This window comes from Homo sapiens, chromosome 2 (genome assembly GCF_000001405.40).
Source record: "Homo sapiens chromosome 2, GRCh38.p14 Primary Assembly".
Taxonomy (NCBI): Eukaryota; Metazoa; Chordata; class Mammalia; order Primates; family Hominidae; genus Homo; species Homo sapiens.
The window spans coordinates 87,618,389-87,633,139 of record NC_000002.12 but is presented as its reverse complement, the minus strand read 5'-3'; the positions used below and the strand labels follow the sequence as shown (position 1 = coordinate 87,633,139).

Sequence of the window (14,751 nt, the reverse complement as noted above, 5' to 3'; positions counted from 1 at the left end):
AATGTGCGGGTTGCTGAGACCAGGAACAGGTTCATGCCAGGAGAGTCGTTTCCTGACCCAACGATCAGCTGCATGAGAAGGGGTGACATCATCGAACTTCCACGGTCACTCTGCCCCAGAGCCCCTGCATGCATCTGCCCTGGGGAAGCACGGCCCCCAACAACTGATATACCACGCCCCAGCAGTCTCCCGGCCTCAGGAGGACCTGCGGTCAAAGCCGCCAAAACTGTGATAGTAGCACAGCAGAGCTGCCTCGATTTGTGGGAATGCAAAGGGAGCCTGGGCTGCTCTGCCAAAGCCAAAACCGCACTGATTTTCTACCAGGCACCAGCTACTCCGAATGCACAAACACACCCTCCACTTCCCGGAGAGGAGACATCTATGAAGCCTGTGTGGGCCCTGCCCGCTGATGCCCAGGGCAGTGGGATTTGGTTTTTTGTCCAGGAAAGGCATGGATATAAATCATGGCTGATGGGGTCGGTGGCTGTGTGTTGGTTTTTGGGCTGCCCCACATCCACCCCTGCCTATTGGCCCCAGTTTCCTTTTGGGGATGAGTTTTCCCCCACTGTGTTTGGTGTGGGTGGGAGAATAATCTTAGGTGCCTGGCCTCCACCGTGGAAGTCTAGGAAGTGAAATCCTGTCTCTCCCTGCCTGTGGTCACACAGGGTAGGGTAGGTGACCTAACCCTAGCTCACAGGCCCTCACCGAAGAGGTGGCATCTGCAATGAGTGAGACAGGGACAGAGGATCAGCAGGTCCAGCTGGGACCCTGGACTGATGGCCTCTGCCATAAGACAGGGTTGTGCTTCCTGCCTTCCCAGGACAAATTCCCTGAGCCCCTCATTACCTTCCAGTTTGCTCCGTTGAGCGAGCTGGAGCCTCTTTCTCATGATGATAGAATCCTAACTGATACTGCAAGGGGATACTGTCTAGCCTTCAGTAAGCCACTGTAAGCCCCCCAGGGTCCCTGACAGTGGCCTGGGTATAGTGTCATGGGGACAACAAAGAGAAGCACAGGCCTTCAAGCAGGTGAAATCGTGTGTGTTTTTTTTCTTTTCGTTTTCTCTTTCTTTTTTTAAAAAAGAGATGGGGTCTTGCTTTGTTGCCCCGGCTGGAGTGTAGTGGTAGGATCATAGCTCACTGCAGCCTCCATCTCCTGGGCTCAAGAGATCCTCCTGCCTAGCCTCTGGAATATCTGGGACTACAGGTGTGTGTCACCACACTGATCTTTTGTTTGTTTGTTTGTTTTTTTCATTTTTTGTAGAGACGGAGTCTGCCATGTTGCCCAGGCTAGTCTCAAACTCCTGGTCTGAAGCCATCCTACCGCCTGGCCTCCGAAAGTGCTGGGATTACAGGTGTGAGTGCCGTTCCTGGCTGGTGTGTTTCTTCTGGAGAGGAGTCATTTGCTAATATCTGTATCTGCTGCCTCTCTCTTTTGGCAGAGCCTCTGTCTGTGTATGCATGACAGAGTTTTTCCTCTCTTACCAGTAAATTAGCAGAATATAGTTTCGTTTGCTGTTGTCATTCCTCTAAATGGGTGAGTATTTTATGTCTGAGGGACCTTCCCTGCCTGGGAGACAACTGATTCTCCAAAGCACACTAGTGGCCAGCAGCTCTGAGTGTGCCACAAATGCACGTGCCTGTTCCATTTGTACAAGGAGGATTTGCAATCACTGCATCTGCTGGCCTGCCCAGGACAGAGCCCTGTGGAACCTGGGTGCTCACCCTCACCCTGCTCACAGGGATCCCCCGGATGCCCTGGTGGCTCAGGCAAGAGCCCTCTAGTCCAGAATCCTGTCATTCATCCTGGTGAGGAATGAAGCTCTGGGGCAGTCGGGGCCTATAAAGGCAGTGGCTCCTCCTCCCACCATGTTCTTAGTGACCTACAATGAGAGGAAAATCCATAAATGCCCCTAACCCAGTTATTTTAAGTATACAATGCAGTGGCATTAAGTACATTCACAATGTTGTACAACCAGCACCACTGTTTCCAAAACATTTTTCATCACCTCAAACTGAAACTCCGTACCTGTTAACCAATAACTCCCCATTCTCCCCTCTCCCCAGCCCCTGGCAACCTCGATTCTAGTTTCTGTCTCAATCAGTTTGACTAATCTAGGTACCTTATATACGTGTTTTTATACAATATTCGTCCTTTTGTACCTGGCTTATTTCACTTAGCATGTTTTCAAGGTTCATCCACGTTGTAGCATATATAAGAACTTGATTCCTTTTTATGGCTGAATAGTATTCCATTGTGTGTACATACCACATTTTGTTTATCTGCCAACAGAAACTTGGGTTGTTTACACTTTTTTTAAGCTATTGTGAATAATGCTGCAATAAATATTGGTATACTAGTCTCTATTGGAGTCCTTGCTTTCAATTCTTTGGGGTACAAACATAAAAATGGAATTGCTGGGTCATATGCTAATTCTCTATTCAACTTTTTAAGGAAACATTAAACTGTTTTCCAAAACAGCTGTATCATTTTCCATTCTCAACGGCAATGTCTGAAGTTTCCAACTTTTCCACATCCTCATCCACACTGATTACCTTCTTTTTTGTTTGTTTGTTTGTGTTGTCGCCATCCTAATGGGAGTCAAGTAGAGTCTCATTGTGGTTTTGATTTGCCTGTCCCTAATGACCAATGATGCTGAGCATCTTTTCATGTGTTTATTAGCCAGCTGTTTATCTCTAACTGCTCCTGATACTCCTGCATGTGTATTCAAAGATAAGCTGTGCCTGAATGTCCTTTCTCACACTCAACTTCTAATTGCAACAAAGCTCAAACTCCTGCTGCTCGCAGCCCTGCTTTGAGATGCACCTGGGATGACTTAACCCTTTGGCTGCTTTCAAAGAGGGTGAAAGGAATCCTAGTAGAGCAGGGTTATGGAAAGTCCTGAGAACAGGCACTAACATTCAGTTAGTTTCTTGGCAGAGACTTCCTTTTTTGCACAATCACAAATAACGAGGGTGCTTGTGGCAGAAGGAACTTCAGACTCATGCCTGGTGCCACGCAGCACCTGCATGGAGAAGGGTCTCCTGTGGGCAGAGGAAAGCCCCAGACAGGGCACAGGTGCTGGCCAGTGGCTCAAGAGGGTGCAGCTGCCTCGGCCTTTTCCAGACCAGCCTTGACCCCTGCCCGCCCAGAGAAACAACTGTTCCCATTTTGACCAACTTGCTTGGAGACACCTGACCAGCAGCCTACCACCAAAATCACAAAATAACCATGGCATCGTGTTTCTCGCGGACAGATGCTGAGACGCAGCCAGCCACCCTTTGGTTTTTAGTGCTCTTCCCTGATAGCATCTGTTGGCCTGCTGAGTCACACTGCAGGTGAAGTGCACTCATCCCTCTGTGTGAGCTCTGGCCATTTGCTGCCTGTGGTTCCCCCATGAGTCAGTGGCATTGGGCCTTACTCTGAGGAGATGTAATGGAGGGACATGGAGGTCACAGGGCATGCGCTGAGAGGAGAGTTTGCAATTCTTGAAGAGTTTATTTTGAATAAGCTGAGTCATGATTACTTCAAGGACTAGGCTCAGCTGTAGACACCAGCTGCAAAGCCAAAGCCTGGGGCATTTTGTCTGGTGAAACTCTGAAAGTTTCCATAAGATGTTATTTTGAGTAGAACTAGATAACTTTTTTCCTGATGAAACATGCAATTTTCTATAAAACCTTTAAAAATCAAAACGTAAAAGAATTAATGCCTTACTCATTCCAAAGTAACAAAGAGTGTCTCATATATTTAAACATTCAAATCAACTTCCAAATTCAGTCTGCTATAAATTCAGTACAGAAATGGGGAGGATGTAGAAGAATGAGGAAGACCCAGGGAGAGGGAATTCACAATTCACTCAAAATGCAATCAAGGTGGCTATTCTTTTAAACATTTACAACAGCTTTGACACTTCTTCTTTGGTTTTCGGATAGAGCGTCTTCTTGAAATCTCTGAGTCAAAGTTGATATCTTTTAAGACGTTCTTCTGTTCCCCAAAGTGTCTTTGCTTTTTCAGGGATAGGCTGGTGGTTCCTCTTGGGTGTCCTCAGCCATGCCAAGTCCTCCTGGGACCCGGGAGGCTGGGTTGTCCTGTCCTGGTGGGAGTGAAGGACCGTGGTTGGGTGAAGTCTTGGTGGAGGCAGCTGCCTAGCTCTCCTGTGCTCTCCTCTGGTGGAGTGGGGAGACTTGCTGCTCTGTAGATATGAGCTCGGGGAGGAATGAGGGCTGAGCTCCCTCCACAGCCACCCAGTGTCTCAGCAGGAGGGCCCCACTTGGAGATGCCAAGACCCTCCCAGTGGGTTCTCTCCTAGCACAGCAAGGGAGAGCTGCACCAGCAGGTGGAGAAGTTGGGGAACAGATAAGCAGCAGCCTCTCAGCCAGGTGGACACCTCAGCGTGGGAGCCTCAAGCAGCCTTGAGGGCAGTGGCGGAGAGGAAGGACCTCCTCCCCTCACTGTCCACAGCATGGCCCTCCACCCTCTGTCTCCCTTGGTCTGTTGATATCTCTCTTTTCTCCTCCCTGCAAGCTCTTATGACTATGTTACATGTGTGGTTGGTTTGTTGGAAGGACAAGAGAAGGAGCAGGAGTTAGAATCATCTGTGGCACCCACCAGTCTCACCTCCACCCAGGTCTATCTTCCCAGCAAAACACTACATGGTCCCCTGTATGGAAAACTTCCCCAATACTCTCTCACCTCCCTGCACTCTGCCAATCTGTCATCTTAACTTTGAACAGCCCTAGACGGCCATCGTCATGAAACTCAGCTCCCAAGGCTTGCCACTTGAACAGCTTTCCACATCTCCCCACAGAGTCCTCTAAGATAAAAACCAATAGCCCTGGGAGGTATCATTTTTTATTTTACAGGGCCCCATGCAATGGCATGAAGCCAGACAGCAGAATAAAAGCGGAATTCCTCCTCACAGCCTTGGCCTTGCCTCCTTTACCTTCTGCCTTGCCCTCTGTCCTCCCAGCTTTCCATGTCTTTCTTCCTCCGTTTCCCTTTCCTCCTTTCCTTCCTTCCTACCTGTCCATTCTCCCTTCCCATTTTTTTTCTTTCCTCCATGCACCAGTTTTCCAGCCTTGTTCCGCCCTAGGACCCTGGGCCTGAAGAGGCTGGAGCTGCAGTCCTGACGCTTCTTCCTCCCAGAGCCCCAGGGATGTGTTCCTACCTTTGGTGGACCCCTCACCACCTATGCCAAGCATTAAAATCTCCCTCCTTCAGCCAGTCTAGGCCGGAGAGCGCGCCTGAATCTTCCTGCCTCCCCTCTTCACGTGTGTCCCTAAGGATAGGCTTGTGCCCTGTCTATGAGGCGGACATAGTTGACAATGAACTGACAGTGGTAGTCCCCAGCCTCCACTTGTAATACCTGGGGACATCTCCCCAACTCCCCCCATCATTCTCCCGTCATATCCCCCCAGAGGATGCGCAACATCCTCTGGCCAAGGATACAGCTCATTCTACCTGGAGCCCCTTGGACCAGCACAGCTGCCTGGGCCCCTCCCCTGCATCACTGGAATGCCCGAGGCCGCCAGACGAGGTGGCCTCCTTCCCAACGCAAGGATGTTCCCCTGGGGTGTTCTGTCACATAAATTCTTCCAAGAATTTATTTCCAGAAAAAATTAAATTCCCCAAAGAATTGGTATATTTTCTTTTATTAGACAATAAGAGCTGCACACCACAGCGCTTGCCTTTTCTTTTTGCTTTTCTTTCCAGGGCTGTGTTAGTGCTGATTATGGATGTATTCATCAGCTCTCTTTTCTGTTCTTTCTCTTTCTGCTGCCATTTGTCCAGTTTATTCTTGGGTGTGTGCGCATGTGTACTTATGGAGAGCTCAGTTCAAGTAACTTTGTGGGAAGGCTGGCCGGGCCGGCTTCTGTGGTCTTGATGCACCACCCTTGTCCTTCCTCCCACCTCTCCTGGCATTCACACCTGCTTCAGAGTCCCCTCCACACATTCAATTTGGGGTCCTCTACCCCTACTTCGGCCCATGTGATCACCAAGTGGTCCAGAGCAGTCCTTGGACCTGTCCACCCCATGAAATGGGAGCTTTCCAAAAAGAAAGAAATCACCTTACATGGTAGATCAGGCCTGAATGCCTGCAGAGCCTCCTGGCTAAAGGACCAAGTTTCTACCTCCTTCCCATCAGCTCCCATCTCTCAAGGGACTGAGTTTCTACTCTCCTTTCCCTCAGTCCCCATCTTTCCCCACTCTGTCACAAAGGAGGGAAGAGAAGAAGATGGAATTTTGGTTTCACAGGTGAAGGAAGGGGATCTTGGTAATGAGGGAGGTTGGAAATTGTCAAATCAGCATCCATGAGCACAGCCACCCCAGAGGAAGTTCTTGGTCTATCCTTGCACAGGTCTTCAGCCCAGTGGGTGGAGGTGTAGTTTGCAATGAATGATGACAGATTCCCCTTGCCAGACCCTGGAACCAAAGGTTTGGAGGGCCTTCTCAACAGGCCCTCCATAAACAAGACAGAAACTTGCAGTTAGCGGGGAATTATTTCTTTGAGTGGCAGCTCAGCTTTTTGCAAAGTCCCACCACAGATCGAAGGGCTCTTTTTGCCTGGGGGAGAAAAGCTGCTTTCTATAAGCTTTTAATATTCAGCAGGGCTTCATAGAGTTACAATCGAAGCTTCATCTTAAATGACAACTTGTGTCTGGACATCAAAATTACCCCATCTTGGCCGGGCGCCGTGGCTCACGCCTGTAATCCCAGCACTTTGGGAGGCTGAGGCAGGTGGATCACCTGAGGTCAGGAGTTCAGGACCAGCCTGGCCAACACAGTGAAACCCCATCTCTACTAAAAATGCAAAAAATAGCCAGGTGTGGTGGCACGCCCCTGTAATCCTGGCTACTTCGGAGGCTGAGGTGGGAGAATTGCTTGAACCCGGGAGGCGGAAGTTGCAGTGAACTGAGATCGCACCACTGCACTCTAGCCTGGGTGACAGAGCAAGACCCCTTCTCAAAAAAAAAAAAAATTCACCCCATCTTTTCTTATCTGTGCGCATACTTTAAGGAAAATAGAGATGTATAAGTCATTTTGAAGTAAGCTTAAGTATGGTGTTGGAGCCACTAACAGAGCCAGAAAAGTGTTTCAAATAAAGTACAAAGTTTATGATGTGAGCCTGTGACCTCCACTACCTTACTCAAATACAAGAGTGGACAGATATCAAGCACGGGTCCTCCAGACCTCAAGCTGTTCTCATTGGTTTGTTGGGTAAGAGGGTCAGTTGGGTGAAGAGTCATCCTTGAATTCTAGACTTGGCACCGACTCCACTCATGGGATTAAAGCCTGCATTGTCTATAGCCCTGAGCGCCTGCCATGCACCTGCCAACTAGCCCACTGTTGGCTACGTGGAAGGACAAGGATTGGTGTCTGGTCACCAACTGGGCCAGCATTTGTAATGGCCTTATAAACATGGGTGTGAGGTTTGTGCACACCCCCTGAGTACTGGCTACCTTTGCCAGGCTCCAGTGGTGTACCCCCTCAGTGACAGGAGAGGTTTAAAAGGTGGGGAGGGCAGTCCAATCAAGTGTGGGTCCCTGTATGACATCACCCAACCCAAGAGAGGACTTGAAGCACAAGAGGTGTGGTGAGAATTGGCTCATGCTCCTTCCTTTGTTGATCTGCCTTTCCAGGGACACTTCCACCCCAAATCAAGAACAGAGTTTAGGATGAGGCTCACCTCTTTTGGCACAGCCTCTGCCCTGACACCCTTACCCTTTGGCCCCTGCTCTGAGGTTCTTTCAGATCTTTGCAGAGACCAGGCTCTCTCTTGCTCCAGCCCTTCGCTCAAACTGGGACTCAATGCCCTCTACCCTGGCCTGTCTGCTCCTTTCATCCTTCCAATCCCAGCCTGGGAGGCTTCTGTCATCCCTTCAAGAGTGGGTTAGGGCCTCCAAGCCTCCCCTACCATCCATGCCATCCCTGCATTGGGTACTGGTCTTGTGGGTCTTCCCCTAGGCAGGAACCAAGTCAGCCTGAACCACTGATACATCCTGAGTGCCCCTCACTGAACTGGGCAAATAGCAGACTCTTAAAAATGCTCAAAGCATGAAAAACCCCCTGGACTCGCTGAATGTGAGCGTCCAACTGAATAGAATCAGTAGGAGCTCACTTCGGAGCAGCTAGCAGGAAGAGAGCCACACCCGATGCATTGTGGTTCCTTCAAACCCAGCAAGCTGGTCAGTGCTAACCCTTGGGACACTTTTGGGAGCTGCGGAGAGATCTGATTCTGTGGAGCAGTTGAGGTTTCAGGTAAACTATAACCACATGAATAGAATGTGATGGGCTTGTTCATTTTTCAGGGTTAGAGTTGCCTAGGCCAGAATATCCGGGAGCCTCCTGTCTCTGCACTGTGCACAATGCAAGAACATCCGGGCAGCCCTACTCTGGAATCTCCACAAGGGCAGAGACCCATAGGATTTATTCCCACTGGTTCCCAGCCCCCAGCACAGTGCCTGACCTACAGGAGTTGCTCAGCAATTGTTGGTTGAATGATTGAAGGGAGAAAAAAATGAGTGATAGGGTTTGGATTTGCGTCCCCACCAAATCTCTTGTCAAACCGTAGTCCCTAGTGTTGGAGGTGGGGCCTGGTGGGAGGTGGTTGGATCATGGGGGTGGATTTCTCATGAATAGTTTAGCACTACCCTCTTGGTGTTGTTATCGTGGTACTGAGTTCTCTCAAGATCTGGTCTTTAAAAGTGTGAAGCATCTCCCCTCTCACTCTCTCTTGCTCCTGCTCCTGCTATGTAAGACACCTGTTCCCCCTTGCTTTCTGCCATGATTGGAAGCTTTCTGAGGCCTCCCCAGAAGCAGAATCCACTACGCTCGCTGTACAGCCTGCAGAACCGTGAGCCAAGTAAACCTCTTTTCTTTGTAAATGACCCAGTCTCAGGTATTTCTTTATAGCGGTGCAAGAATGGACTAATACAATGAGTTTATGGACAGAAAAGTTCTTTCTTAGAGAAACAGATAATGTAGCTCCAGCTGAGTCTGGAGACTTTCCCAGTTAAATTGGAAAACCCTGTCTTTAATATATTTACAGGTGATGTTCCACTTTCAGGACTTACTCTCCCACATGAGCACATGGAAATCCTGAAGACGATCTTCACTTAAATGCTCATGATGATGAGAAAGGGACCATAAGATAGATACCACCCAGCAATGAGAACGAGTTACGTCCACAGGTAGCAACAGGATAGAGCTCAATAACATGGAGAGAAGAAAGCAAATTGCAGAACAACTCCTTTTACATCAGCATATAAAACCCAACACACGATACCCTATATTGCTTTTAGATAAATGTATAGAATTCTAAACACCTGGACAGGAAATTCTATACCCAACTCAGGGTGGTGAGATGAGGCTGAGGACCCACGATGGGTGGGGATGAGAGAGGACTGTGGGAATCAAGCTGCAGTCAAAACAAGATCTGAAGCCAATAGAGTAAAATGTTCTCTGCTGAATGTTAAAGGTTGTCCCTATTAAGTGCATTTGTTATATTACTCTCTAGAGTTTTTTGCATATTTGAAAGTTCTATAATTTTTTCAAAGAAATAATTTTCTCAGATTATCGTAATAATTTAGAAACCAGCGGTTACTTTACTTAGCATTTGCTATAGAACCTACCAGAGTTATTTTACTTAAATAGTATAAAAATTGACCTTGCGAACAAGAATTCTTCTTTGAATTGAATTCTCCCAGTTTCCTAATTATTCAATTCAGCCTCTTTTGCACCAGTCTGCCCATTAACCAATGCAAATCCTTAAGGGACCATCTCAGGCTCCCCTGCCGTGAATACCCCATTGCTCCCTCCCTTTTCCTCAGCTCACCTTATCCTCCTGCTCAGCCTTCCTCAGATATCTGGGGGCCGCCATGCCCCTCTCCAAAGAGGTCAAGCGAGTTTTCAATGATAGCAAGCAAAACGTCTACGCACTAGAAGCAGTGGTGCTCAAACTTCCACATGCATCAGAGTCTTCTGGGGCTTGTGAAAACAGATTTCTGGACCCCACCCCCAGTGTTTCTGATTCAGTTGGTCTGGGATGGAGCCTGAGAATTTGTGTTTCTAATAAGTCTCAGGTGATGCTGATACTACCAGTCCAGGGGACACACTGATAAACGGTGGGTTGGAGAAGGTTGGAATGTCATGCCTCTGCATATTGTGTGCTGCATGTGCTGTGAAAGAATGGCACGCTTCTGTGAGCCTGGTCTGTCCTTCCTGGTGCCCTCTGCCCTGACATTTCATCATCACGACAATATCTGGCATTGATCTTTGTTTTAGTCCCTCTCCGCAGAGAACAGATTTAATCACATATATTTCCATTTGGTCTGGACCAAGTCAACTTTTGGCCAGAAGAGAACATCCAAAATTAAATAAACATTATTGTGTGAAGAATGAAGAGGGAGATGAAGAGAAAGTCAAAGGGCCCAAGAAATTAGAAATGAAAGCAGGAAGAAAGATGCAAGGCAAGAGGGAACATGGAGAAATAAGAAAGTTGATACTTTCCATTCCCACTGACGCAAGAGGCCCCCAGGACCAGCAGACAAAGAACAGAGGGACTGTCTGTCATTCCTGTGTGGAATAATCGTCTCTAGCCAGAAAACAAACAAACAAAATCAGTGTCTGAGAAGGATAATTGACAGGCAGGAGTTCTCCATCTTGGAAACTCTTTAACACAGAGTTTTGTTGTCATCATCTCTTGTGGGGGCTTTGGATGTCTTCAAGTCCTGTCCACACAACTCTGGAGGCACACGGTCCCTATGGGAGGGGACTTCCCTGGCAGAGTCTGTGTCCAGACACATGTGGGAGCTGGTACAGAAGGGAAATAGACAGCTTCCCATTTTTAGGGGCTTGGGGCTTAAACACATTTGTTCTTGAGTCAGGCGAGAAATCAGCAGCAAACAAGACAAGGGTGGGAAGGAGAGGTGGTGGTGGTAAAGAGAGCGCTTCGGCTTTCATAGATGGAATTTAAGGCAGAAACCATATGCCTGAATTTCCAACCCTTCCAGTGCTTGGGAATCGCCTGGGCCTCACTCCCACAGATCGTGATGTATTGGTCTGGACTGGAGCCTACTCGGCAAAACTGTTCCTGACTGATGCCACAGGGCAGGTTTGAGTCTCACTGATCTAGAATAGAGCCCAGCCATCATCCTGCAGCTACAAGAGAGGAAACTGAGTCTCAGAGGGATTAAGCAACTTGCCTAAGGTCACATACAAGGGAAGAGCAGAAGGAAGGTGAGAACTCAGATCTCCTGACAACTATCTCAAGTGGAGAGAAAATAAGTTTTGGATGAGTTTAAGGTTAAAACTAGTTGGCCATTTTCCCCACATCAGCATCCAGAGGGAGGATTTCCCCTGATGAGCATCCAGTGGAAGGAACCCCAGGACAAGACAGGAATAGACTCCAGGTCTCATGCTTGCATTTCTCAGTGGGGTTCTGTCCACACACTGCTGAAATGAGTCTGAAATGGTCCTGTCCTGCCTGCTATCTCCTGGGAGGCCTGATGCCTGCAGGCTGTCCCTGCAGGCAGTGACACCTGTGTTTGGCCTGTGTGGTTGTCCCCATGACATGGGCTTCCTCTCTCTTGGTATCTACTCCTAGGAAAGAACTTGCCCCTTCAGAGGGTGGCACAGCAAGTTTGGAATATGGTATCCACAGATGAGGAAATGAATCAGCAACAGGAAAATATTTCAGGGCAACTGCAGCTTACTAAGTGTTCACTCTGCCAGGCATTGAGCCTCTGGCGTAGTAGGATCCCAGGACATGTCATGAAACTCCCAGGTAGGTGGCAGCCCATCTGACAGTTTTGAGAACGAGTCAGTACCTGCACCGCGTGGGGAGGGAATGCAGCAGAGCAGGGAGACAGGAGCTAGCAGGCCAGGCCTCTCTTGCATCTGATATGTTGAGAAAATGAAGCCAGAACTGGACCAGAGCAGCCTGGGATAACATCCAAGATGTCAGGGATGAGGCAGAAATTCCAGGGCAGGAGGCCCCATGACCTCCATTTTGCAGGATAACCTCACCCTCCAGAAAAAAGAAAAATGAGATGACCTGCTACCTTGCCAGGCTGATGCCCAGTGGCATCCTACAGCCCACTGTGAGCTGTCCCCAACACTGGAAAGGAAAGGAGGCTGTGACGGATGAGTGGCCAGCTGGCTCAGGCCTTAGTTTTCTCATCTATACAAGGGGCTGTGTGTTGCAAGGATTCAACGAGATAGCCCAGGTCAAGCTCTTGGCAGGGGGCACAGTCTTTTCTAAGTGCTGCAGAGACATTAGCTATTGCCATTGTTGCTAGTATTCTTATGAGAGTCTAAAAATTGCTTTTTCTTCTTAGTCTCTTAAAATAGAATCACACTAAATTCTAGAAGCAAAAGCAGAAATAGAGCTGATGTCATCCAATTATAAGCCTGAAAAGTCACTTTCATTAAAATGCAGCATTAACATCAACCCTAGAAGGGCTTCTCCTCCACAACCAGAAGGAATTGATTTGCCCAATCCTTGCCTTTCAGGTACTTCACTGGTTCCACAAGAGGCTTCACAGAAGAGCCCTCAAGATCTCCTACTAAGAAAACCATCTACTCTGTTTTATCAGGACTAAGTGACCGACATCCACTAACGTGTGTCCCTCCAACACTTCCTACATGTTAGTGTAGAGAGTGACAGGAGGAGCTTTCCTGCCCATTCATTTATCTGCTCATTTATTCATTGATTCATTCATCAGTTGGCTACTGAATACCCACCCCATGGCAGGCACAGTTTCAGGTGCAACGTTGAGACAGAGCACGGAGTTGGCAGGGCAGAGACAGAGGCAGGCTATGGACCAGAAGCCATCAGAAGCACTCCTAACAAAAATTAAGCAGGGTGAAGAACAAAGAGCACCTGAGTGGTCTAGGATGATCATGACCTTTGGGAATGTGGCAGCTGAGACCTGAGCGTCGGAGGGTCCAGGCTCTCAGGACCTCTAGTCAAACACTCCAGGCAGAGACAAATGCTCTGAGGCAGGTACCTGTGCCCCTTGCTAGTTAACTCTGGGTCTAAGTGGTTAACCAGGCTTAACCTTGGCAGCCTGAATAAGACTCCTCCCCTCCCACCTCTCCTGGTGGGCAGACCCTTCCTATAGCCACAAGGAGCCTTTGTCTTCAGTGACCCCTCCCCACCTGCGACACAAAGCAGAGGTGAGACTGGAGGTACTCGGACCAGACACCCCCATCTCCCAAGGATGACTGTTCTGCATTCTGGAACCATGGGCAGGGCATGGGCACTCTGTTTCCTCATCTGGAAAATGGGCATGATCCCTGCTTTACAGGATTGCTCAGAGGTTCACAGGAGATGGCAGAAAAGTCATTGTGCAAAATGTAAGCAAATATCCAAGCATGGCACATTTGAAATTGGAGTCCTCCAGGTGACTAAGTGATTTCTGTAAATTGTGTTGTCATTGTAACTTCCTTTTACATCCACATCCTTAAGTTTTCTGCCTTCTTTAAAACCTGCTTGCATGCAGCTCCCAGAATTAGCAATCACTAAGCCTAATTAGTCTTCTCCTCCCAGAGGGCTCTGCCTTTTATTTTTCCTTTTATTTTTAGTTGACACAAAATAATTGCGCATATTTATGGTGCACAGAGTGATATTTCAGTACATGCATATAATGATCAAATCAGGATAATTAGGAAATACATCACCTAAAGATATATCATTTTTTCATGCTGAGAATATTCAAAATCTTCTCTTCCAGCTTTGTGAACATATGCAATATATTCTTGTTAACTATAGGCATACCTCTGAGATATTGCCAGTTTGGTTCCACACCACTGCAATAAAGTGAATATTGCAATAAAGTGAGTCACATAAATTTTTTGGTTTCCTAGTGACTATAAAAGTTATGCTTATACCATACTGTAGCCCATAAGCATGTAATAGCATTATGTCTAAAAAATATACACACCTGATTTAAAAATAGATTATTGCTAAAAAAAAAATGCTGGTGGTTTTGGTATGTTGCAGCTCTATTTTCACTTGTTTTGAGAACTTTTTTGACCTCCTTCTTAATTTCTTCATTCACCCATTGACCATTCAGGAGCACGTTGTTTAATTTCCATGGATTTGTACAGTTTTCAAAGTTCCTTTTGTCATCGATTTCTGGTTTTATTCGATTGTGGTCTGAGAACATATTTGATATGATTTCAATTATTAAAAATTTGTTGAGGCTTGTTTTGTGGCCTAACATATGGTCTATCTTAGAGAATGTTTCATGTACTGAAGAGGGAAGCATGTGATTCTGCAGCTACTGGATGAAATGTTCTGTAAATGTCTATTAGCTTCATTTAGTCTCTAGTGCAGTATAAGTCTAATGTTTCCTTGTTGATTTTCTGTCTAGATGATCTCTCCAAAGCTGAAAATTGAGTTTTAAAGTCCCAAACTATGATTGTATAAGCATCTATCTCTCTTTAGCTCTAATTATATTTTCTTTTTATATCTGGGTGCTCCAGTGTTGAGTATATGTATATTTATAATTGTTTTATCCTCTTACTCAAATGATCCCTTTATCATTATATAATTACCTCTTTTTCTCTATGTTTTATGACTTAAAATCTATTTTGTCTGCTGTAAGTATTGCTACTCCTGCACACTTTTGGTTTTTTTTTTTTTTTTGCATGCAATATCTTTTTTCATCCCTTCAGTTTCTGTCTATGTGTGTCTCCACAGGTGAAATTAGTTTCTTGTAGGTAGCATAGAGTTAGGTCACTTTT

At 47.1% G+C, this 14,751-nt stretch overlaps 1 long non-coding RNA gene and 1 other non-coding gene across 2 annotated transcripts in view, besides 2 other annotated features; both read right to left on the bottom strand.

The window, feature by feature from the left end:
* NCAL1 (NK cell activity associated lncRNA 1) overlaps positions 1-14,751 on the bottom strand; it is a 282,375-nt gene that overhangs the window by 104,714 nt on the left and 162,910 nt on the right. The window lies entirely within an intron of this gene.
* Positions 2,188-2,918: an enhancer, noted in NCBI's record as "OCT4-NANOG-H3K27ac-H3K4me1 hESC enhancer chr2:87929741-87930471 (GRCh37/hg19 assembly coordinates)". NCBI's record gives its function as "activates a minimal SCP1, AML or CMV promoter by ChIP-STARR-seq in naive and primed H9 embryonic stem cells {active_cell/tissue: H9 hESC(naive and primed)}" and the evidence as "EXISTENCE:reporter gene assay evidence [ECO:0000049][PMID:30033119]".
* Positions 2,919-3,650: an enhancer, noted in NCBI's record as "OCT4-NANOG-H3K27ac-H3K4me1 hESC enhancer chr2:87929009-87929740 (GRCh37/hg19 assembly coordinates)". NCBI's record gives its function as "activates a minimal SCP1, AML or CMV promoter by ChIP-STARR-seq in naive H9 embryonic stem cells {active_cell/tissue: H9 hESC(naive)}" and the evidence as "EXISTENCE:reporter gene assay evidence [ECO:0000049][PMID:30033119]".
* On the bottom strand, positions 3,306-3,385 carry MIR4435-1 (microRNA 4435-1). The gene has a single exon (NR_039634.1). It is a non-coding gene; the product is annotated as a microRNA 4435-1 (primary transcript).